At 32.3% G+C, this 27,366-nt stretch overlaps 1 long non-coding RNA gene across 7 annotated transcripts in view; it reads right to left on the bottom strand.

The window, feature by feature from the left end:
* Positions 1–27,366, bottom strand: part of LOC105377188 (uncharacterized) — a 98,853-nt gene that overhangs the window by 37,392 nt on the left and 34,095 nt on the right. For 4 of the 7 annotated variants that reach the window (XR_007096264.1, XR_007096266.1, XR_001740800.2 and 1 more), the window contains 2 exons: positions 24,383–24,470; positions 6,928–6,960 (listed from right to left, as the gene is read on the bottom strand). This is a non-coding gene — a long non-coding RNA (uncharacterized LOC105377188). Of the gene's footprint in view, positions 1–5,582; positions 6,199–6,927; positions 6,961–24,382; positions 24,471–27,366 lie in introns of those variants that run through there. The other 3 variants (XR_001740795.2, XR_007096263.1, XR_007096265.1) reach the window with 3 other exon arrangements.

Raw genomic sequence — 27,366 nt, 5'->3', positions numbered from 1 at the left:
CCTAAGTTGTTGAGAGTTTTTATTATGAAGTAATGCTGAATTTTGTCAAATGATTTTTCTACATCTATTGAAATAATCATGTTGTTTTGTCCTTCACTGTGTTAATGTGATATATCAGATTTATTGGCACATGTTGAACCATCTTGACATCCCTGGAATAAATCTCAATTGATCGTGGTAAATGATTATTTTACTGTGATATTGAATTTGGTTTGCTAATATTTTGTTGAAGACTTTTTCATCTATGTTTACCAGCAATAGTTTTCTGTAATTTCCTTTTTTGTATTATTGTTGTCTGGCTCTATTAGTGTAATGCTTGCTTTGTAAATTGAATTTCGATGTATTCTCTTGTTAATGTTATTGAAAAGTTTAAGAAAGATTGGTGTAAGTTCTTTTTAAAATCTGTAGCAGAACTCAACAGTAAAGCCATCAGGTCCTGGGCTTTTCTTTGGTAGAAGAATTTTCATTACTACTTTAATTTCTTGCTAGTTATCATTCTGTTCAGGTTTTCTGTTTCCTCAAGATTTGGTCTTGGTAGGTTTTATGTGTCTAAGAATGTCTCCATTTCTTCTAAGTTATCCAGTTTATTGGTATATGTTGTTCATTCATAGTCTTCTTATGATCCTTTGTACTTCTATGATATCTATTGCAAGGCCTCCTCTTTCATTTCTGATTTTATTTATTTGAGTCTTCTTGTTTTTTCTTTTAGTATTTCTCTATGAAGATTTATCAATTTGATCTTAAAAAAAAACTTAGTTACATTTATCTTTTCTATTCTTTCTTTGTCTCTATTTTACTTATTCCTACTTTAATCTTTATTATTTTTCACTTTTGGTGGCTTAGGGCTCAGTTTGTTTTTCTGGTTCTTCGAAGTACATAATTAGGGTGTTTAAATAGGATCTCTCTTATTTTTTTATTTGGAGCCTATTAACTTACAAACTTCCCTATTTGAAAGTTGCTTTGACTGGATCCCATAAGTTTTGCTACATTACGTTTACATTACATTTTCATTTTTCTCCAGGTATTTTTGAATTTCACTTCTATTTATTTAGTTAGTTATTTTGAGACGGAGTTTTACTCTTGTTGCCCACGCTGGAGTGCAATGGCGTGATCTCGGCTCACCACAACCTCTGCCTCCCGGGTTCAAGCGATTCTCTGGCCTCAGCCTCCCGAGTAGCTGGGATTACAGGTATGGGCCACCACGCCTGGCTAATTTTGTATTTTTAGTAGAAATGGAGTTTCTCCATGTTGGTCAGGCTGCTCTTGAACTGATCTGGCAGCCTCAACCTCCCAAAGTGTTGGGATTACAGGCATGAGCCACCGCACCCGGGCGAATTTCACTTTTGTTGTTGTTATTGTTGTTATACTTTTAAGTTCTAGGGTACATGTGCAAAACGTGCAGGTTTGTTACATAGGTATACATGTGCCACGGTGGTGTGCTGCACCCATTAAGTTGTCATTTACATTAGGTATATCTCCTAATGCTATCCCTTCCCCATCCCCGACCCCAGGACAGGTCCCAGTGTGTGATGTTCCCCACACTGTGTCCAAGTGTTCTCATTGTTCAGCTCCCACTTATGAGTGAGAGCGTGCAGTGTTTGGTTTTCTGTCCTTGCAATAGTTTGCTCAGAATAATGGTTTCCAGCTTCATCCATGTCCCTGCAAAGGACATGAACTCATCCTTTTTTATGGCTGCATAGTATTCCATGGTGTATATGTGCCACATTTTCTTAATCCAGTATATCATTGATGGACATTTGGGTTGGTTCCAAGTCTTTGCTATTGTGAATAGTGGTGCCACAATAAACATACATCTGCATGAGTCTTTATAGCAGCATGATTTATAATCCTTTGGGTATATACCCAGTAATGGGATGGCTGGGTCAAATGGTGTTTCTGGTTCTAGATCCTTGAGGAATCGACACACTGTCTTCCACAATGGTTGAACTAGTTTACAGTCCCACCAACAGTGTAAAAGTGTTCCTATTTCTCCACATCCTCTCCAGCACCTGTTGTTTCCTGACATTTTAAAAATTGCCATTCTAACTGGTGTGAGATGGTATCCCATCGTAGTTTTGATTTGCATTTCTCTGATATCCAGTGATGATGAGCATTTTTTCATGTGTCTGTTGGCTGCATAAATGTCTTGTTTTGAGAAGTATCTGTTCATATCCTTTGCCCACTTTTTGATGGTGTTGTTTGATTTTTTTCTTGTAAATTTGTTTGAGTTCATTGTAGATTCTGGATATTAGCCCTTTGTCAGTTGGGTAGATTGTAAAAATTTTCTCCCATTCTGTAAGTTGCCTGTTCACTCTGGTGGTAGTTTATTTGCTGTGCAGAAGCTCTTTAGTTTAATTAGATCCCATTTGTCAATTTTGGCTTTTGTTGCCATTGCTTTTGGTGTTTTAGTTATGAAGTCCTTGCCCATGCCTGTGTCCTGAATGGTATTGCCTCGGTTTTCTTCTAGGGTTTTTATGGTTTTAGGTCTAAAATTTAAGTCTTTTAGCCATCTTGAATTAATTTTAGTATAAGGTGTAAGAAAGGGATCCAGTTTCAGCTTTCTACGTATGGCTAGCCAGTTTTCCCAGCACCATTTATTAAATAGGGAATCCTTTCCCCATTTCTTATTTTGTCAGGTTTGTCAAAGATCAGATGGTTGTAAATTTGCAGTATTATTTCTGAGGGCTCTGATCTGTTCCATTGGTCTATATTTCTGCTTTGGTACCACTACCATGTTGTTTTGGTTACTGTAGCCTTGTAGTATAGTTTGAAGTCAGGTAGCGTGATGCCTCCATATTTGTCCCTTTGGCTTAGGATTGTCTTGGCAATGTCAGCTCTTTTTTGGTTCCATATGAACTTTAAAGTAGTTTTTTCCAATTCTGTGAAGAAAGTCATTGGTAGCTTGATGGGGATGGCATTAAGTCTATAAATTACCTTGGGCAGTATGGCCATTTTCACAATATTGATGCTTCCTATCCATGAGCATGTAATGTTCTTCCGTTTGTTTATGTCCTCTTTTATTTTGTTGAGCAATGGTTTGTAGTTCTCCTTGACGAGGTCCTTCACGTCCCTTGTTAGTTGGATTCCTAAGTATTTTATTCTCTTTCAAGCAGTTGTGAATGGGAGTTCACTCATGATTTGGCTCTCTGTCTGTTATTGGTGTATACGAATGCCTGTGATTTTTGCACATTGATTTTGTATCCTGAGACTTTGCTGAAGTGGCTTATCAGCCTAAGGAGATTTGGGGCTGACATGATGGGGTTTTCTAAATATACAATTAGGTCATCTGCAAACAGGGAAAATTTGACTTCTTCTTTTCCTAATGGAATACACTTTGTTTCTTTCTCCTGCCTGATTGCCCTGGCCAGAACTTCCAACACTGTGTTGAATAGGAGTGATGAGAGACGGCATCCCTGTCTTGTGCCAGTTTTCAAAGGGAATGCTTCCAGTTTTTGCCCATTCAGTATAATATTGGCTGTGCATTTGTCATAAATAGCTCTTATTATTTTGACATATGTCCCATCAATAGCTAGTTTATTGAGAGTTTTTAGCATGAAGGGCTGTTGAACTTTGTCAAAAGCCTTTTCTGTACCTATTGAGATAATCATGTGGGTTTTGTCTTTGGTTCTGTTTGTATGATAGATTATGTTTATTGACTTGCGTATGTGGAACCAGCCCTGCATCCCAGGGTTGAAGCCCACTTGATCATGGTGGATAAGCTTTTTGAGGTGCTTCTGGATTCAGTTTGCCAGTATTTTATTGAGGGTTTTTGCATCAATGTTCATCAGGGATATTGGTCTAAAATTCTCTTTTTTTGTTGTGTCCCTGCCAGGCTTTGGTATCAGAATGATGCTGGCCTCATAAAATGAGTTAGGGAGGATTCCCTCTTTTTCTATTGATTGGAATAGTTTCATAATGAATGGTACCAGCTCCTCTTTATACCTCTGGTAGAATTCGGCTGTGAATCCATCTGGTCCTGGACTCTTTTTGGTTGGTAAGCTATTAATTATTGCCTCAATTTCAGAGCCTGTTATTGGTCTATTCACGGATTCGACTTCTTCCTGCTATGGTCTTGGGAGGGTGTATGTGTCGAGAAATTTATCCATTTCTTCTAGATTTTCTAGTTTATTTGCGTAGAGGTGTTTATAGTATTCTCTGACGATAGGTTGTATTTCTGTGGGATCAGTGGTGATATCCCCTTTATCAATTTTTATTGCGTCTATTTGATTCTTCTCTGTTTTCTTCTTTATTAGTCTTGCTAGCGGTCTATCAATTTTGTTGATGTTTTCAAAAAACTAGCTCCTGGATTCATTGATTTTTGAAGGGTTTTTTATGTCTCTATCTCCTTCAGTTCTGCTCTGATCTTAGTTATTTCTTGCCTTCTGCTAGCTTTTGAATGTGTTTGCTCTTGCTTCTCTAGTTCTTTTAATTGTGATGTTAGGGTGTCAATTTTAGATCTTTCCTGCTTTCTCTTGTGGGCACTTAGTGCTATAAATTTCCCTCTACACAGTGCTTTAAATGTGTCCCAGAAATTCTGGTATGTTGTGTCTTTGCTCTCATTGGCTTAAAAGAACATCTTTATTTCTGCCTTCATTTCATTATGTACTCAGTAGTCATTCAGGAGCAGGTTGTTCAGTTTCCATTTAATTGAGTGGTTTTGAGTGAGTTTCTTAATCCTGAGTTGTAATTTGATTACACTGTGGTCTGAGAAACAGTTTATTATAATTTCTGTTCTGTTAAATTTGCTGAGGGTGCTTTACTTGAATTTCACTTTTAATGTCTTCATTGATCCATTGGTTGCTCAGGAGGGTGTTATTTAATTTTCGTGTATTCATAAATTTTCTAAAATTTCTCCTATTACTGGTTTCTAGTTTCATACTATGTGGTCAGAAAAAATACATGATATTATTTTAATCTTCCAAAACTCATTAAGACTCCTTTTGTGGCTCAACACATGATCTATCATAGAGGATGTTCCATGTGTACTGGAGAAGAATGTGTTTTCCACTAATGGTGGGTAAAATGTTCAGTGTATGTCTGTTCGCTCCATTTGTTCCAAAGTGCAGTATAAGTCTCATATGTTCTTAGTGATTTTCTGCCTTGATGATCTTTCCATTGCAGATAGTAGGGTATTGACTTACCCTGTTATTATAATATTACAGTGCATCCCTAACTTCAGTTCTACTATTATTTGCATTATATAATTACTGCTCTGATATTGCATGCATATAGATTGGCAATTGTTACACATTTTTGATGAATTAACTCCTTTATCATTGCATAATAACCTTATTTTTCTTGTTTCACAGTTTTTGACATAAAGTCAATTTCATGATATAAGTAGAGCTACTCCTTCTCTTTGGTTTTCATTGGGATGGAATATTTTGTTTTTCATTTCTTCACTTTCAGGCTACTTGTGTCCCTACAGATGAAGTGACTCTTTTGTATGCAGTATATATTTGGGTCTTGTTTTTACAAGAGTAGAAAGACAACTTACAGCATAGAAGGACATATTTGCACATAATATCTAAAATATGTAAGAAACTCCAATAACAAAATAGTAAGAACAAATAACCTGATTAAAAATAGGCAAACAAATTTTAATAGACACTTCTCAAAAGATGACATACAAATTGCCAACAAGTATTTATTTTAAAAAGCTCAAAATCATTAATCAGATAAATGAAAATTAAAACCACAGTGAGATATTATTTCACCCCAGTTAGAGTAGCTGTTATCAAAAAGGGAAAAGGAAACAAATTTTGGAAAGAATGTGGAGAAAAGGGAACTCTTGTATACTGAGTGTAAATTAGTAATAACTATTATGAAAAACAGTATGAAGTTTCCTCAAAAATTAAAAATAGAACTCTGATATGATCTAGCTACTATTGGGTATATTGCCAAATAAAATAAAATTAATATGTCAAGAATATATCTGTACTCTCATATTCATTGCAGCTTTATTCACAATAGCCAACATATAGGATTAACCCGTGTTCATCAGTGAACGAATAGACAATGAAAATCTGGTATATTTGCATAATGGAGTACTATTCAGTCTTAAAAATGAATGAAATCCTGTCATTTGCAACAACGTGGATGAACCTGAGGGACATGATGATAAGTGAAGTAAACCATGCACAGAAAGACAAATACTGCATCTTTTCACATACTTGTGGAATCTAAAAGTTTGAAGTCCTAGAAAGAAAGGATAAAGTTGTGAGGCCAGTGTGTGGGATGGGTTGGTGAGTTATTTGGCAAAGAATGCAAAATTACAAAGGGATATGAGCAATAAACATGAGACATCTCATGTAAAACATAGTGACTATAGTTAATAATAATGTATTCTTGAAAATTGCTAAGAGAGTAAATATTAAGTGTCCTCACCACAAAAACAAAGATAAATATGTGAGGTGATGCATATGTTAATTAGCTAAATTTAATCATTCCACACCATATATATATTTCAAAACAACATATACATAATAAATATAAACAGTTTTTAATTTTCAATTGAAAAATAAATTCAACACAATTTTTAAAACTTTGTTGCCACTCAAAAAAGACAATTTAAAACTGTTTTTTAACAATGTCATATCAAGAAATTTAGATTACTTAGATGATTTAAGCAAATAATGTATGAGTTAATATTAGTGTTAGCAAATTATTTGTAAATTATCTTAAAATTTTCCTCAGAGAGATTGTCCCTTCTCTTCATATTTACTTTTATTTTGACTTTTGCATTTTCTACACTTTGTCATGAGTGCACATTTGTTAGAGATTTGCTTAAATGTTTTGTTTTAAATTTTGATGGAGAATTCAATATAAAATGTAAAATTATAATCCAAATATAAATTGGTTTTGCTATACCATAATATTATGGTAAATTCTAGTCATTAAGAAGGCTATAAAAATAGAATTACCCACCTTTTGTGTCCTGGTGTGAAGTTCCATATTTAACTATTGTTAAGGAAAAAACAAATTTAATTTCTTTTTATTATTTGCTATCATACAACTATAAGCATTGTATAATTATACAAATGACTAAATAAATCTATGATACTAATTCAAGCATATAATAATAGATACAGTAAATAATATTAAATAAAATTAAGTTTAAAATTATTAAGGAAAATTATAAAATTAAGTCAGAATAGCTTTATAATATTAATTACAAAGAAACAGTGCCAATTCAATAAAAGAATATTTCATGAGTTTTTATTTAGAAAGGTAGGTTAACACAAAACTAAAAAGACTAAAAAGCTTTAAGTGCATACAATGATAAATCAACAAAAGATAAAAGATAATATTCTTCTGTAAAGATAAGAATTAAAATGCATTCAGTCAAAAATAAGACTTTATTCTTTTGTGCTAAGAAGTAAACTGGCCTATTAATGATATGATCTAAAAGAAGATAGAGCCATATAGGAACTAATGACTCTATATGTAATATTGTTTCTCTCTCACCTGTCAGAATTTCTGAAACTCTTTCAGTATAAGACCAATATAATGTGTCGTTAGGACAATTGTTCATTTTTATTATCTACTCTATACTTTTTTCTTTTCTAAACCTAATATCTTAGCATAAATTGTTTCACTTTTTGAATAAATAGGGATAGCAAAGTGCTACAGTTTGAATGCTTCCACCAAAACTCATGTTAAGTTGAATGGCCATTGTGATGGTATTAAGAAGTGAGATCATTAAGAGGCAATTAGTCCATGACACCTTTGCCATCATGAATGGGTTCATGTAGTCAGAAGTGAGTTAGTTATTACAAAAGTGGGTTTTTATAAAAGTGAGTTCAGTCTTTTGTATTTCCACCTTCAACTATTGGATAACTGAACATGAAGGCTCTGGCAAGATGCCAGCACCTTGATATTAGGCTTCCCAACCTCCAGAACTGTGATAAATAAGATTCTTTTCTTTATAAAATACCCCAGTCTGTGATAGCCACACAAAACAGACTACTATAGCAACACACAAAAAAACTAAGATACAAATACATGTCATGTGTGTTCTTTTATTCCTCCCTACCCATGTGAACAGTCCTAATTAGATTGACTTTAGCAATCTTTTATAATATATCTGATGATTGTCTCAGAAGTCTCAATATAAAACTCCAGACAATCAGCCCATACTTGTTGATTGACAAGGCCACATGGGCAATTAACATAAACTGTTTCATGTCACTACTCATCAATTTGGGTAACATATCTGTCTCTCTATCTATATTGTAAGCTTTAAGTGTCACATTCATATTGTATCTTTGTAACCCAAGGTTTCCCTTTGACTAAGTAGGTGATACAAATTTAAGTTTGATAATAGTTATCAAAGGAATGACTAGGGCCCAACAGCAATCATGTTTTTCTCATATTTTATCTCATGTTGTATTCACTATTACTAGCCATCAAATATTTCTGATTATCCTCAGAACACTTAAATTGACTGTACATTCCCATTTCTTTGAGGTTAGCTTTAGACAAGGTTTGCCATAGACAGTGGTTTTTAAACATTATTGAGCATCAAAATCTACTAAAGAGCTAGTTAAAACATAGATTACTAGGCCCGTACCCCAGAGTTACTGATTTAGTAATTCTGGAGCTAGGGACAGAAACTTTTTACATTTCCAACAAGTTCCTAGGCAATTCTGATGTTACTGGTCCACGGAAAATACTTTTAGAACCCAGTTTTATAAAATGTAAGTGAAAAGGAAGGAATTTTTAGAGTCAGTTAGTGACTTGCAAATTCCATCTTTTAAAATTTTTATTCTATTTCTTTCTAGCATGGCAACATCCACATGGAGACCTTGCTATTATTCTGGATTACAGACTAAGGAGATATAAAGGATAGCCTATGTTGTAGGATATACACGGTACACAAATGACATGAATAATAAGTAAATCATCTTGCTTCAAATAACTAACATTTTTGAGTTATTGGTTTCCATAGCATGCACGACCTAACCCAATCTTACAAATAATTATGCTTCACAATTATTTAAACATCAGTAAGTTACATAAAATAAATGTCTGACGATAAGCAGGAGAAAGTCATTTTTATGTCTTCTTCTTTTCCTTGATTAAGTGTCCTAGATTAAGTTACTTCATACACCAATTTAAAAGTATATAAGAGTTTGTAGGTAATTATGTACATTAAAATGAAGCATACCTTTTTACCGATCAAGTTAAATAAAAGGTACTTTATTAGTATTTTGTAAAATCTGATTTTTAATAACTAAAAAAGTTTGTCAATTAGTTGTTTGCACTGGTTAGAATAATAATTCCTTAACAGAAAAACAACAATGCCAATCACACTATATCAAACACAAGCTTACAATAGCTAAGAAATAAATAGATTTTATTTTTAAAATTGTGAATTTTAATAGATAAGTGAAATTTGATATTGATATTAGAAGAGGTTATTCCATGTTTTCTCAAAGTCAGGATGCAGGAGGTAGAGAGAATATTTCCTAAATAAAACATATGCCCTCAAAATGGCAGTACTTTTAAATAACTCCAATGTACAGATTATTTTTTCTATCGAGCCTCAGTTTTTTTTACATTAGAAATGTAAATTGAAGAATCCTTCATATCTCATACTGGCAACATTTGAGCAACTACACAGAAAACAACCTTTAAACCAATTTCATTTGACATGTCTTGGAAAATCATATTACACATGTGAATCAGATTTATGTGTCTAAATATCCTCCATTTTCCTAAGATTATATCAGCACTATGAGATAATCCAATTTAAAAAAGATTAAAGTACAAAGACTTACAAATTGAAAAGATAAGACAAATTTTTATTGTTAGCTTTATCTGATTAAAGTACAATAACAAACTGCATGTCAAATGCTGTTGAAGGATGGAGAATACTTTGTTTTTCCTCTCAGCAATGAATTCAACTACATTATATTTATTAAATCACTGCTTAAGATAATTTCTTTATATAGAAATTATTTGGCAATTTTAAGAATAAAATGTGATATTAAAATAATATTGCTTAAGTGGTATAATGTTTTGCCATACTATGTAAATGATATGATATGTACATGTGATATAATACACATCACTTATGCAATAATTTTATCAGGATAAAAAAGCCACAACAGTTAAAAAAGACAAAGAGGGACATTATATACATTATATAATGATACAAGGACTGGTTCAACAGGAGAGTATCACAATCCTAAATATATTCACCTAAAACTGGAGCTCCCAAATTCATTTATTTATTCATTGATTTCTTTCTCTTTTTTTTAAATTGAGACAAGGTCTCTCTGTGTTGTCCAGTTTGGTCTTAAACTCCTGGGCTCAAGTCATCCTTCTGCCTTAGCCCCTCAAAGTGTTGGGATTACAGATGTCAGCCACCACACCCATCCTGGAGCTCCGAAATTTATAAAACAATTACCACTAGACCTAAGATATGGGATAGACAGCAACACAGTAATAGTGGGGAATTTCAATACTCCTCTGACAGCACTAGACAGGTCATTGAGACAGAAAGTCAGCAACTACACCCTAGAACAAATGGACTTAACAGATGTTTACAGAACATTCTACCCAACAACTGCAGAATATACATTCTGTTCATCAACAAATGGAACATTCTCCAGCATAGATGATATGATAGGCCACAAAACAAGCCTCAATACATTTAAGAAAATTGAAATTATATCAAGTATTCTCTCAGACCACAGTGGAATTAAACTGGAAATCAACACCAAAAAAAAAAAAAATACCCTCGAAACCATGCAAATACTTGAAAATTAGATAATCTTCTCTTGAAAGATTGTTGGGTCAATAATGAAATCAAGATGAAAATTAAAAATTCTTTGAACTAAATGATAATAGTGACACAACCTATCAAAACCTCTTACAGCAAAAGCAGTGCTAAGAGGAAAGTTTATAGCATTAAGTGTCTACATCAAAAAGTCTAAAAGAGCACAAATAGATAATCTAAGGTCACACCTCAAGTAACTATAGAAACAAGATAAAACCAAACCCAAATCCAGTAGCAGAAAAGAAATATCAAAGATCAGAGCAGAACTAAATGAAATTAAAACAAACAAAAACAATACAAAAAATAAATGAAACAAAAAGCTGGTTCTTGGAAAAGATAAACCAAATTAATAGACCATTAGTGAGATTAACTAAGAAAAGAAGAGAAAAATCCAAATAAGCTCAATTCGAAATGAAATGGGAGATATTACTACCAATACCACAGAACTACAATGTATCATTCAAAGCTACTGTGAACACTTTGATGTGCACACACTGGATAACCTAGAGGAGATAGATAAATTCCTGTAAATTTACCACCCTCCTAGATTAAACCAGGAAGAAATAGAAACTCTTAACACACCAATAACAAGCAGAGAGATTGAAATGGCAATAACAAAATTGCCAAAAAAAGAAGTTCAGAACCAGATGTATTCACGGCTGAATCTATCAGACATTCAAAGAAAAATTGGTACCAATCCTACTGAAACTATTCCAAAAGACAGGGAAAGAGGGAATTCTCCCCAAATCATTGTATAAAGCTAGTGTCACCCTAATTCAAAATCAAGAAAGGCCATAACCAAAAAAGAAATCTACAGACCAAAATCTTTGATGAACGTAGATGCAAAACACCTCAACAAAATACTAGGTGAATTCAACAGCTTATTAAAAAGATAATTCACCATGATAAAGTGGGTTTCATACCAGGAATGCAGAGATGGCTTAACATATGCAAGTCAATAAATGTAATACATCACATAAACAATATTAAAAACAAAAAATGTATAATCAGCTCAATGGACACAGAAAAAGCATTTTACAACATCCAGCATTCCTTTATGATTAAAACTCTCAGCAAAATCAGCATAGAAGGGTCACACCCTAAGGTAATAAAAGCCATTTATGACAAACCCACAACCAACAGTTTACTGAACAACAAAAAAAAATTGAAAGCATTCCCCCAGAGAACTGGAACAAGAATATAATGCCCACTTTCACCACTTCTATTCAACATAGTACTGGAACTCCTATCCAGATCAATAAGACAAGAGAAAGAAATCAAGGGTTTCCAAACTGATAAAGAGGAAGTCATTCTGTTGTTGTTCACTGATGATATGATTGTATAGCTAGAAAACCCTAAAGACTCATCTTAAAAAAAAAAAAAAGCTCTGATAAATAAATTCAGTAAAGTTTCAGGATACAAAAATCAATGTATCTAAATAAGTAGCACCACTATACACCAAGAGTAACCAAGCTGAGGATCAAATCAAGAACTCAATTCCTTTTACAATAGTTTCAAAAACAAAATACTTAAGTATCTTAGGAAAATACCTATACAAGGAGGTGAAAGACCTCTACAAGGAAAACTACAAAACATTGCTGAAAGATATCAAAGATGACACAAATAGATAGAAACACATTCCAAGCTCATGGATGGGTAGAATCAATATTGTAAAAATAATCATACTGCAAAAAGCAATTCTACAAATTTGATGCAATTCCCATCAAATACTCTCATTGTTCTTCACAGAATTATAAAAAAAAAAATCCTGAAGTTGATATGGAACCAAAAAAGAGCCTGCATAGCCAAGGAAAGACAAAGCAAAAACAAACAAAAAACACAAATCTGGAGGCATCACATTACCTGACAACTATACTACAAGGCCATAGTCATCAAAACAGCATGGTACTGATATAAAAATAGGCACATAGACCAATGTAACAGAATAGAGAACTGAGAAATAAAGCTAAATCTAGTCAACTGATCTTTGACAAAGCAAACACAAACATAAAGTGGGTAAAGGACACCCTATTTAGCAAATAGTGCTGGGATCATCATCAAGCAACATATTAAAGAATAAACCTGGATTCTCATCTCTCATCTTATACAAAAATCAACTCAAGAGGACCAAAAACTGAAATATAAGACCTGAAACCATAAAAATTCTAGAGGATAAAACTGGAAAAACTCTTTTAGTCATTGGCTTAGATAAAGAGTTAATGACCAAGAACCCAATAGCAAATGCAACAAAAAACAAAGATAAATAGATGGGACTTAATTAACTAAAAAGCTTCATGCTGCAAAAGAAATAATCAGCAGAGTAAACAGACAACCTACAGAGTGGGAGAAAATTTTCATGAACTATGCACCCAACAAAGGACTAATATGTGAAATCTACTCCAGGAACTCAAACAAATCAACAAGGAAAAAGAAATTCCATCAAAACATGGGCTAAGGACATAAATAGACAATTCTCAAAAGGAGATATACAAATAGCCAATAAACATATGAAGAAATGCTCAACATCACTAGTTATCAGGGAAATGCATATCAAAACCACTATGCGATACCACCTTACTCCTGCAAGAATGGCCAAATTAAAAAATCAAAGCATGATAGATGTTGGTGTGGATGTGGTGAAAAGGGAACACATTTACACTGCTGCTGGGAATATAAACTAGTACAACCCATATGGAAAACAATATGAGGATTCCTTAAAGAACCAAAAGTAGATTTACCATGTGATTCTGCAACCCCACCACTGGGTATCTACCCAGAAAAAATGAAGTCATTATATGAAAAAGACACTTGCACACACGTTTATAGCTGCACAATTCACAATTGCAAAAATATGGAAGCAGCCCAAATGCCCATCAATCAATGAGTGGATAAAGAAAATGTGATTATATATGTGTATATATATATGTGTGTGTGTGTGTGTGTGTATATATACATATGTGTATATATATGATATAAAAATTCCTATATATATATATGCACACACATATATATATACACACACACACCATAGAATACTACTCAGCCATAAAAAGGAATGAAATAATGTATATACATATATATACACACACATATACATATACACAAACATATACACACACACACACACACTATGGAATACTACTCAGCTGTAAAAAAGAATGAAATAATGAATCTATCTATAGAAAGTGAGAGAGAGAGAGAGAGAAACACATACACACACACACACACACACAAACATGGAATACTACTCAGCCATAAAATGGAATGAAAGAATGTATATACATATATATACACCCACATATACATACACATACACACACACACAACATGGAATACTACTCAGCCATAAAAAGGAATGAAAGAATGTATATACATATATATATACACACACATATACATATACACACATATACATATATACACACACACACACAATGGAATACTACTCAGCCATAAAAAGGAATGAAAGAATGAATCTATCTATCTATCTATCTATCTATCTATCTATCTATCTATCTATAGAGAGAGAGAGAGCGAGAAACGCACATCCACACACACACACACACACAAACACACACACCATAGAATACTACTCAGTCACAGGAAAGAATGAAATAATGTCATTCACGGCAATCTGGATGGAGTTGGCAACCATTATTCTAAGTGAATTAATTCAGGAATGGAAAACCAAACATTGTATGTTCTCACTTATAAGTGGGAGTTAAGCTATGAGGATGCAAAGGCATAAGAATGATACAATGGACTTTGGGGATTCAGAGGGAAAGGCGGGAGGGGGTGAGGGATAAAAGACTACACATTGGGCACGGTTATACTGCTTGGGTGATGGGTGCAACAACATGTCAAAAATTGCCACTAAAGAACCTATCCATGTAAACAAACACCACCTGTTCCCCAAAAATTACTGGAATGAAAATCAATACAATAAAAACCATACAAAGAAGAGAAACCTGAGCTAGCATGCTCAGCCCTCTTACCATATGATACCCTGCGCAGCCCTGGGATTCATCACTGTCCCCACCGGCAGGAAAGATCCCACCAGATGTGGCCCTATGACCTTGGACATCTTGGCCTCCATAACTCCAGGAGTATTTCTGATCCCAGTGGAGACCTCTCCATTTCTTGTTGGCATTTCCCATATGTTCTCAGGGTAGCTAAGAGCCTTTGGAAGCCTGTTACCATCAGGAAATTGAAAACTCCAGAGTGGATTCATTACAGTAGGAGTCGAAGACTGGATGAAGAGTCTAGCAAACACCTTGTACAGTTCCTAAAACAAGTGTGGTGGCTCACAGCTGTAACCCTAAGACTTTGGGAGGCCAAGGTGTGAGGATTGATTGAGGCCAGGAGTCCAAGACCAGCCTGGGCAACATATTAAGAACTGTCTCACCAACGTTGGTGGGACTATAAACTAGTTCAACCATTGTGGAAGTCAGTGTGGCAATTCCTCAGGGATCTAGAACTAGAAATACCATTTGGCCCAGCAATCCCATTATTGGGTATATACCCAAAGGATTATAAATCATGCTGCTATAAAGACACATGCACACGTATGTTTATTGAGGCACTATTCACAATAGCAAAGACTTGGAACCAAGCCAAATGTCCAACAATGATAGACTGGATTAAGAAAATGTGGCACATATACACCATGGAATACTATGCAGCCATAAAAAAGGATGTGTTCATGTCCTTTGTAGGGACATGGATGAAGCTGGAAACCATCATTCTCAACAAACTATCGCAAGGACAAAAAACCAAATACCGCATGTTCTCACTCATAGGTGGGAATTGAACAATGAGAACACATGGACACAGGAGGGGGAACATCACACACTGGGGGGCCTGTTGTGGGGTGGGGGAGGTGGGAGGGACAGCATTAGGAGATATACCTAATGTAAATGACGAGTTGATGGGTGCAGCACACCAACATGGCACATGTATACATATGTAATTAACCTACACGTTGTGCACATGTACCCTAAAACTTAAAGTATAATAATAATAAAAAAAGAACTGTCTCTACAAAGTATAAAAATAAACTTTCATTAAAAGAAAAAAACTCTGTTACATAGTATGAACTATGTGATATAATATGTATCCTTTATCAAAAAATTTTATTAGGATAAAAAGCTATCCTTGAAATCAGGTACAACTTTCAAACAACTAAGAAGGATTTAAGTCACTTTGAAAATCTTAGAGTCTCCTAGGGGCTTTGTTGCCCACCACTTAAATTTGGAGAAAGGGAAAGCATCCAACTTAACCAATTTTGAAACATTTTGGTTTTTTTCTTCACAATTTAGAGGCTGACAAAACACTTATGAGACTGTACATGTCATTTTTCATTGCAGACTTTCCATAAATCAATGAATTATTTTGTGTAAAGGACTATCCTAAAATTTAAAGAACAATTAATTTTAAAACTCTGAGTACAGTCTATGTATTACTCACAAACCTCACACAAGACTATATGAATATAATTTGTGTGTGTACATCAGGAATTTTATGAATATCCTTGTCATAAAAAAATCCATATTACCACAATCTCTTTAGTAATGGAAGATGTAGGAAAACTGGGCACACATCCCAAAAGAAACTAAACAGCTAGAAAAAATGCAAGAACTGCTTTTCCAACATTTTATCTTTTATCCCAGAGATATGTAGATCAACACTATAGATGACCTCAATACATCTGTAAGCTGAGTACTGTAATTTGAAGTCTCCTAATCAAAACTCACATATATTTTGAGAAAGTGAGCATTTTTTTTTCATGGTAGTCTATACATTGTAGTTTGGAACTATTCTTCTTAATTGTTTAAAATGCTAAGTCATAACTGGTATGGAGAACAAGTTGCACATCAATTTTCTCTTTCCTAACTTGATTATTTGAACAATAATAAACATTTGAATTTAACAATTCCATTTTCTAACATTTAATTTTTCCAACCATTTGAAACCTGGTACTCCTACTCTATGGAACTTAAAGATAAAATAAAATTATTATTTCTACAGAGACATCTAATAAACACTTTTATAATTAACACTGGATAAATTATTCTGAATTTGGCAATAGCTTTAATCCTACAGCAAAGCATTAATAACTGGAGAGCTTTCAGTATATTGCAATTCATTAAAGTGATCAACCACAGGTAGCAGGTAACAACAACCATACTACCGAGGTGTGCAAACTGAGATTAGGTTAGTTAAATAATTACACATTGAATTAAATAAATAACTTTCTAAATGATAAAATATTTTCTTATTTAATCTGGGCCTGTACACAAGCTTTATAAATAACTTTCAGAATTTTAGTACATTATATACTATGTTTTAAAAAACTATTTTATTCATTTTGGTCTTAGCTTGGTTTTATAATTATACTTCTGATTAGGGGAATATTTTAACTTAACATCATGGCTTTTATGTGTATAACTTTTCCTTTTTAAATTATTTTCTTCATTAAATGGTAAATCTCATCTGATTTGCAAAATACACATATTTACTGAGTTCTGAGAGCATGCTACTTACAAACAACTTATACGTGTAAACATATATTTTTTGAGAACTGCAAAATCAGAATATGGTAAATTCTAATACAATAATATGTTAATTTCCTCCTAGTTATAGTTTTAGAATTATAAATTACATTTGATACTCCTCTATAAAACTATTAACCATATTCTCCTTGGACCACACCAGTTTTTTAAGTTTTAGATCATTTGGTATTAGTTTAAATATTACTTTGTGACCTTGTCTAGGCCTCGTGATGCTATTTTATGAAGTATGTCTAGGAAATATTTTCAGTGTACTAAGTGGAACATTTAAATCATTGGCAGACTTGTTTGATTTTTCAGTATCCTGAAGGCAGTCAATGAATCTCACCCTATTATCTTACTTTGCCTACTTTTAGTTCTTAATTATCTATATTTTTATTTGAATTTTTTCACTCAATTGCATTATTTCATACATCACTCAGTACACCTGTACTCATTATCTTAGATTTAATATGACAATTGAAAGCAAATGGTATTGACAGATCCTTCTTAAATATAATTACTCAACAAGAACTGTCCTTGATCAATTAATCACAGTGTATCTCAAATTTAATATTCTGATGCCACAGGAAAATAACCATTACGTTTTTACAGAAGAGGTGCATCAACATTTGTTGACAGTTTGTAGGTGGTTTTGCTCAGTTACATAGATAAGCGTTATATTGTTTTATAATTAGTAATATACTGAGAAAGTTGTATAAATGCTAAATGTATAAATAGATATAAAAACATTAATATCTCACTTAAGTTATGTACTGCTCACGATTTATTTTGCCTTTCAATAATACTGCAGAAAACCTGAATTTTTCTTATAAAGTATCACACCTGAAATATTGGAGCCTTCTAAAATAAAACTATGAATTTTACTACAAAATTATTACAAATAGTCCTTCATATGTGAGTATATCAAAGCAACACATACAATTTTATTGCAAACACCTATTTGATCATATTATGTAAGAATTAATGTCAATTTAGTAAGAGCAATACGCAAATCTAACATTTTTCTTTCTTCCATACAAGAACAGATAAAAAACATCAAATTGCTAAAATAATCAGATTTCTATATAATTCTAAAAATCATACTAAATAAACATTTATATTTGATCTACACTAGTCAAATGGCAAAATATTGTGGATTTTTTTACATTAATTTTTTATGCACATAAACTAGATAATAATTATTTAAGCTTAACTTTTTTAAACAGTTCTGAAAGTATTGTACCACCAAATAAAATGACACTATCTTTTGCACAACAGCAAAATAAATATACAAAACATGATGAAAATGAAAACATACTTTTGCTGAGAAATAAAGGATGTTATTTTAATTTGATAAAAATAAATGAAAAACAAAGGCTTGCTTGGTTCTAAATTAGAGTCCAGTGAGGACTATTGTTATACTTTTATGCATATCACCCATGTAGTCATAAAAATGAAAATGTTAACTACTTTTTGGTGACTATCATGATCTATCATGGTTTCAAATCAGATTATTTCTGTGACTTTCAAATCAGGTTATATCTGTAACGAAAAAAATCAGACACGCATGTATATAAACACATGGCTAAAACATTTTTAAGAATTGGTCATAAATTTTTTACTGAATTTCTTCTAACAACCAAATTCATAGCACCCCAAATTAGCTACAAAGTAACAATAGGAGGAGCAGAGGCTGGGACTAACATTATTTCTATCTGTCATAATTTTTAGTAGATGTTTGAGAATCATAAATCTAGAGAAATTTATGAAGAGTTATTTATGTTGATCTAACTTGTTAGCAATTAGATTCAAAGTATTTAATTTTAAATTGGAAAATAGAAAATTTTATGTAACTGATATGGCTTGGATCTGTGTCCCCGCCCAAATGTCATGTTGAAATGTAATTTCTAATGCCGGAGGTGGGACCTAGTGGGAGTGATTGGATCATGAGGGAGAATTTTTACCTGGGTATTGTAGTGTGATAGTGAATGAGTTATCGTAAGACCTGGTTGTTAAAAAGTGTGTAGTACCTCCCTGCCCCTTCCTCCTGCTACTGCCATGTAAGGCATGACTACTTCCCCTTCGATTTCCACCATAATTGTAAGTTTCCTGAGGCCTCCCAGAAGCCAAGCAGATGACCAGCATCGTGATTCCTATACAGTCTGAGGAACCATGAGCCAATTAAACCTCTTTTCTTTAAAAATTACCTAGTGTAAGGTATTTTGTTTATAGCAATATGAGAAGACTAAAACAGTTACCTTTCATCAAATCAGGAATTTCGGTTTGGTCTCCCTATCTAGAATAAAATGATTTTGTTTGTTTGTTTGTTTGTTTGTTTTTATCTTAATAAAAATATATGTTAAATTAAAATGCTCCCAATAATTTGAATATGAATTAATTCCTTCAATAATTTTTATGAATTATTTTAAGCACATTTTATATTTAAAATTATTGTGCAAAATATACCCTTAAATTAGCTATTTCTTTATACTGTATTTAGTGTTGTGTACTCTATGTGTTACATACTTACTATATGATGAGAAGTGTGTTAATTACTTTTAATAGATAATTTCCTATAATGCCTGCAATAACCCCATGAGATAGATTTATTTATTTATTTATTTTTTGAGATGGAGTCTCACTCTGTCACCCAGGCTGGAGTGCAGCGGCACAATCTCGGCTCACTGCAACCTGTGCCTCCCGGGTTCAAGCGATTCTCCTGCCTCAGCCTCCTGAGTAGCTGGGATTACAGGCCTGCACCATCACGCCCGGCTAATTTTTGTATTTTTAGTAGAGATGGGATTTCACCATGTTAGTCAGGCTGGTCTCTGACTCCTGACCTCGTGATCCGCCCGTCTCGACCTCCCAAAATGCTGGGATTACAGGCGTGAGCCACCGCACTCAGCTGATACAGATATTTTTACCCTCAGTTCGCATCTTGAGAGGCTGAGCTTTCAACAGTTTGTGGCTTGCCCCAAATCACACAGCTATTAAAAAGTGTCATAAGCAAGATTCGATCACTTGTTTCTCAGTGCTAAAGTACGTCATTTTTATCTTTATGGAAGGCACGGCCAAGATTCTTGAGAAAATAGTTTACATTTGCTGTCTCTACTTCCTTACTTTCTACTTTTTCCTGTTATTTGAATTCGGTGTCTATTTCCACCACCTGTGGCAAATGTTTGTATTGCTACACACAACCAGTTTGACAAATGGCCTCCATTGTTAAACTCTTGACTCATACACAAACTCTTCACCCTTAAGTTTGACTTAGCTGGCTGTCCTCAAGAATACACTTTTTTTTTTTTTTGGATTTAGTTTTCTGTCCATTTATCCAAATACCTATAGCAAAATATGACAAAAATATAAGATGTCCAGTAAAAATTAAAAGAAATATTTTCCAACTTTGTAATGTGACTAATTTAATTTCATACAAATTAGAGTTTCGTGGAATTGATACAAATGCAAATGAGCAACCCGTAGTCCTAGAGCCTAATTTGGTTAGACACATCAAGAATGAATTATTTAACAAAGGGAAAAATAACCTTTTATCTTGAGCCTCAGTTTCTCCACAAAAGCAATATCTAAAGAAGCTTTCAACATTATACCATGTGTAGAGTGGTAAGCAAACACATACATACATACATATATACATACACAAGTAATCCAAAGTATGATGATATTTTTGACTCCATCATGGGGTCCTAAATTTGAGAAATTAGACAGCATATGTGATTATATAATTTTAGGACTAAATTATCAGCTACATATTTTTATCACTTAAAATATATTAAAAATATAATCTGGTGGAAATAAATACCATTTGTCCTGAAAATACTGTTTAGATTTTTTCATTTTCTACGTTAACAATAATTTCACCTGTCTTCACAGCCCTCATCTATAAAATGGAAATTGAACCATAAATACATGCCTTTTCAATGCGTTTCATCAATATTTTACAGTTTTCACTGCATTTTATGTTATTTATAGTTATTGTAAATTGGATTGTTTTCCTGATTTCTTTTTCAGATTGTTCACTTTTGGTTTATAGAAATGCTATTGATTTTTGTGTGTTGATTTTGCATTCTGCAAATTTACTGATTTTTTAAATCAGTTCTAATAGTTATTTTGGTTGACTCTTTAGGGTTTTCTAAACATAAGATCGTACCTTCTGTAAACAAGAATAAGTTGAGTTCTTCCTTTCCATTTTTTGTCTCATTGCTCAAAAAAAAACAAAAAACAAAAAAAAATGAAAGGTATTCCACATTCATGGTTTGGAAGAGTCAGTACTGTTAAAATGTTCATACTACCCAAAGCAATCTACAGATTTAATGTGATCCCTATCAAAATACCAGTGAAGTTCTTCACATAAATTTAAAAAAAAAGATCCTTAAATTTATATGGAACCACAAACAATCCAGAAGAGCCAAAGAATTCCTGAGCAAAAAGAATAAAACTGGAGGCATCATATTGCCTGACTTCAAATTATACTGCAAAACTTTAGTAACCAAACCAGCAAGGTATTTGCAGAAAAAACAGACACTTAGACCAATGCAACAGAATAGAGAACCAAGAAATAAATCCACATGTTTACAGTCAGCTCACTTTCAACAAAGGTGTCAAGAACATACATTGGAGAAAAGACAGTCTCTGTAATAAATGGTGCTGGAATATCCATATGCAAAAGATGAAACTAGAACTGTATCTCTCACCATGCACAAATCAAATCAAAATTGATTAGATACTTATATCTCAAAACTATGAAACTAGCAGAAGGAAACATTAGAGAAACACTTCAGAACATTGGTCTGGGCAAGGATTTCATGAGTTAGACCTCCAGAGCACAGGGAACAAAAGCAAAAATGGACACAGAATCACATCAAATGAAAAAGCTTCTGTGCGGCAAAGGACACAACCAACAAAGTGAAGAAAGAACCCACAAACTGGGAGAAAATATTTGCAACCCATTTGACAGGGTGTTAATAACCATAACATATAAGCTCAAACAACTCAATAGAAAAATGAAAGATTCCAGTTAAAAAGCAGGCAATCCGAATAGATAGTTCTGAAAAGAAGACATACAAATGGCCAAAGAGTACCTAAAAAAATGCTCAGCACAATTAATCGTTAAATAAGTGCAAATTAAAACTACAATCAGATATTATTTCATTTCAATTAAAATGGCTTAAAAAAACAGGCAATAACGAATGCTGATATAGATTTTGAGAAAAGAAAACCCTTGTACGCTGTTGGTAGAAATGTCAATTGGTAAAACCACTATGGAGAACGAATATGGAGGTGACCCAAAAAATTAAAATTGGACTACTATATGATCCACAATCTTGCTGCTGTGTATATAACCCAAAGAAAGGGAAATCAGTATATTGAAGAGTTATGTGCACTCCTGTGCAGCACTATTTACAGTACGCAGGATGTGAACTCAACCTAAGTGTCCATGGAGGCATAAAGGGATAAAGAAAATGTGATTCCAATACAAAATGCAAGATTCAGCCATAAAAAAATTAAATCCTGTCATTTATAAAAGCATGAATGAAACTGGAGGACATTGTGTTAAGTAAAATAAGCCAAGCACAGAATGACAAATACTGCATTTTTCTCACTAATATGTGGCAGCTCACAAAACAAAATTGGACTCATGAAGATACAGAGTAGAATGATGGTTACCTGAGGCTGGGAAACAGTGAAGCAGGGGATAAAGTTAAGATCGTTAATGGGTATAAAACTACAGTTAGATAGAAGGAATAAAATCTAGTGTTTTGGTTGCATAATAGGATGACTGTATCCACAATAGGATGACAATATAATGTATTGCGTACTTCAAAATAAAAAAAAAGAATGTAATTGGAATTTTCCTAATGCAAACAAATTGTACATGCTTGAAGTGATAGATACCCCAATTACACTGATTTGATCATTATACGTTGCATGCTTGTGTCAAAATATCACATGTACTCCATAAATTTGTACAACTATTACATATTCATAATCAAAAAGTTAAAATAAAAAATAGGTGCATGTCTTTTGGCTTATGCTTTCCACTAAAAATTATTTGAGAAAGCATATATTCTCTCATATTTTTTCACTTTATTTCCTACAGTTTTTATATTAATTTAAATGTAAACAGTCATTTCAACATGTTTTAAATATAAATGTTTTAAAATACTATTACATTACACTGTTAATACAACACTTTGAAACCTATAAGTAAACATTTTGAAATACATCAAAAAGCTCATCTCCAAGAGAAATTTTGGTTTATTCATAAGTATTTGATGTGTATTTTTATTTCATCACACCCAAAGAGTTTATTGTAATATATTTCATGCTTTATAATGTTATATTGATTTAATTATTATAACTTTCTGCAAAAATGTGGATTAAATATTATAATTTATTTTTAAAAAAATATTGGCCTCTATGGTTCTAAGTTAAAGTTTTTAGTCACAAATGAGAATTTATTAAAATTACTAGTAAATAATTCCTCAAGCAAACAAAAATTAAAAATAAGGAAACTTTTACTGTAACTGAATTCCTTACTGGGCAAATATGTTTACTAATTATTGTAATTGGTTATTGTCTGTGGATGGATATTATTTAATCCTAAATAAGACAATATTCACCCTTTAGTACCATGTTTCATTTTATCCCTATTGTTTGTTGTATAGTGTTAAGTGAGAAACTCTTTCTCACTTAGGTATATGGGAACAAAATTTTTATAAAATTATCATTCCTTTTTTTAAATTGTTTTGTAAAAATTCCAACAATAGCATACTTATTTAGCTTTAAAAATTAAAGCTTTTTTAAAAATTTTTGTGAAAGCAATTAGAAATTATTCATTTAAAAAAATTGTATTACATAATAGCTAGTAATTTTTTAAAAAAATATTTCTTTCCACTTTCTAGAGGAAAGACCTGTTAATACTGGCTATTGACAACCCAAAGTATAACGAATTTAAGAACCTATGACCTGTGCAGTCAGCCATAGTCCAGAGAGGTGAGGGGGAAGGGACTTATCTATGTGGACATACCTGGTTTCTTCTTCCACGCTCACATTTATGAAAAACCTTTACTCGAAAAGAAGACGTGTGATAGAGGGAAGCCAGAGGCATCATACTACTGGAAGAAACATAAGAGTAGAGAATGACTTAACATTTTTTCAGCATTAACTTAATATTACATTAACTTTTTTTTAACTTCATCATTACGGAAATTGTGTGTGCAGAGTAGGGCCTACTTTATCTAACCCAATACCCATATTTAGAAGAATTACATATGTATATGTGCATATATCTTGAATATATATGTACTTATGCATATGAATAACTTTTTAGTACATATTTAGTAAAATTATTGTATCAAAGAATAATAATAGACTACTTTTGTTTAATACTGTATTTTTGAAGGCTTTCTATATCAATATACACACTGTTTTCTTGTCCATTTTATGTTATACTTTTCTCAAAACTGTCTTATAGTTTTCAGAATGTTTTTAGGCAAACTTAATATTATCATTCAATACACCAAATGATTTTGATTTCTATAATTATTTCCCAGAGCAACTTTCCCTTCCATTTTTTAAATCACTAACTCACTTTTCTTCTCCCTTTTATGTATTTTATCATCAATCATTGTTAACTTGCAACTGTTCTTTGATTATCTTATTGCTTTTTAAAAACTACCTTTATCATTAAGAAAAAGTATTTTCCTGAACATTTATTTAGCTTCTAGGATAATTTGTTTTCCAATAAGCATTCTTTATGTGTGTCACTTTTAGATTTGTTACTCTGTTTTTTCTTTTTTTCCATACATAATAAAACACAAAACACTGAAGTAATTTTCAGTTAGTATTGTGTCAAGTTTTACTTACTTTATATTTACTATAAATTCACATAAATATTATGAAAATGTATGTAAATACCTCAGTTCTGCCTCCTCACACTTCTACATTTTTCTTTTAAAAAAGTGATTCACTAATTTATTTGTCTTATACTTCGATAGAAGAAAAATTAAAAATGTTTTTAGCAGTAAATATTTCTTAGACCATTGAGATATAATTAAGTCACCCAGATGGCTTAACTATGCTGTAATATGTACAGTAGAGTCTTAATATTATAATACGAGCAAATTTTGGTAATTTCAAGATTTTTGTATGTAATGCTATTGTGAAGTTTTGCTGTACCCCTATGAATGAACTGAACAAGTGATATTATTTCTCTTTAGTTGGCTCTTTATTTAATCTATTTATTGGAACTTAGAGCCTTGTTTTCATTAATTTGTCTCATTTGTTTTTTATTTACTCAGTAAAACTAATATCTGAAAGCTATGTAGTAAAATACAAAACAGAAGAATAAGGGGGATATGAGCTATCTGCTGCAATCTTATAATCTACATTATTTGCTTCCTGAGTAGTCATAAAATACTAATATTATACAAATATTTATGTTCTTTCTTATAGTATTTTTTCTTACATACTCTTACTAGTTTATCTTAATAAATGCTATGCTTATAATAGTAAGAATGCTTGTTCTGTATTTTATCAAATATATTGCCAAAATTTAATGTAGTTAATGTCAAAGAATAAGAGGCATGGGTTGGTAATTGTTGAGACATATGTTTCCTAGTAAAAAATAAAGAGGAGGAGTATTTTTTCCAATTAAATAAAGGTTTACCTAAGAGTATTTTTCACTGAGTATCATGGCAAAGCTAGTGTGCGTAACTCACTGAGCAAAGCATGTCAAACTTACTTTTGTATTCTTCACTCTATACAAGGGTTTATTCTAAAATAAGTAGAGATCAATAGATTTATGAAAATGTTTCTCTTACAATAGTGAGTTTTAGTTTTGTAAAGGTAAATGAGGCTGCTAAATATTAGTTTAAATGCGTATAATAGAAAATAAATCAGTTCTACTTAACAAATGCATAACCAGACCACCATTTTAGTATGTTTATACTTAATTATTTTCCTTTATTAATGCTGTGTATAATTACTAAGATAAAGTATGGTTATAAAGTATTTATTTTACATATATCTTCATTATCAAAATGTACATGCTTGAGGCTATTTCCTGTTTAATAATATATAATGTCTTAGAACACTAAAATTATCCAGAATTGTATATAATATTTCACATTGCAAATGTTACTATTTTATGAGAACTTTTATAGCCTCTAATTCTGCTGCTCTTTTATTTTAATGGCTTTTCTGTTATGGTAAATTTTTGATGTGTGGTGAGACAAACAGAAGTGAACATATAAATATTAATTCTGTAAAATTAATTTAAGATTCTTTAAATGTATTATCACAATCTTGTCAATTATGGAAAAATGAGTTTATAGTTTATGCCTCATCAGAAAGAAAGTTTCTCCTTAATACAGGAACAAATCAATTAATTATGGCTTAGATGAATGTTTGAAGAAAATAGAACTTTTTCAATATGGCATTATATAATGCTCAGGTAAACCATAAAAATAAATAATAAGGCAAGCAGAAATTCTCACTGGGAAGCACTGGTGAGGAAAGATTAGCACTTCATACACTATTAAGTGTGTGATATCAGATCAACATGCTATTTTTTATTTTAGTCATTAATTTTAAATAATTTTCCAGAAGAAACACTTTGGTCACCTAGTAGTTCCCATTGGATATGTGGGAATAGAGAAATAAATAGAGAGAGAAAGCCTTTCTTCAAATCTTCAGTGATTACAGCATTATACAGATTAAGTCACTATGTGTCTATTCATGAGTTTATCCTGCAAATTTGTTGTGCCATTCATTTTTCAATCTCTAAAGGGCTTATCTTCACTCCCTGAGGAAATAATATTTAATAAATATTCTTAGAAGGTTCTAAATATTATTAAACACACGTATTGGAAATGATTGATTAGAATGAATGTTTTTAGAAGAATAGACATCCATATATTGATAACAAAATGTATTCCTTCATATAAAAGTGTCATCAGGTATATTTGGTAGCAGTGTAAAATGGTACAACCACTTATTAAAATATTTCCA

Source organism: Homo sapiens, chromosome 3, assembly GCF_000001405.40.
Source record: "Homo sapiens chromosome 3, GRCh38.p14 Primary Assembly".
NCBI lineage: Eukaryota > Metazoa > Chordata > Mammalia > Primates > Hominidae > Homo > Homo sapiens.
Note: the sequence above shows the minus strand (reverse complement) of the source record. Positions and strands in the feature narration are given on the sequence as shown.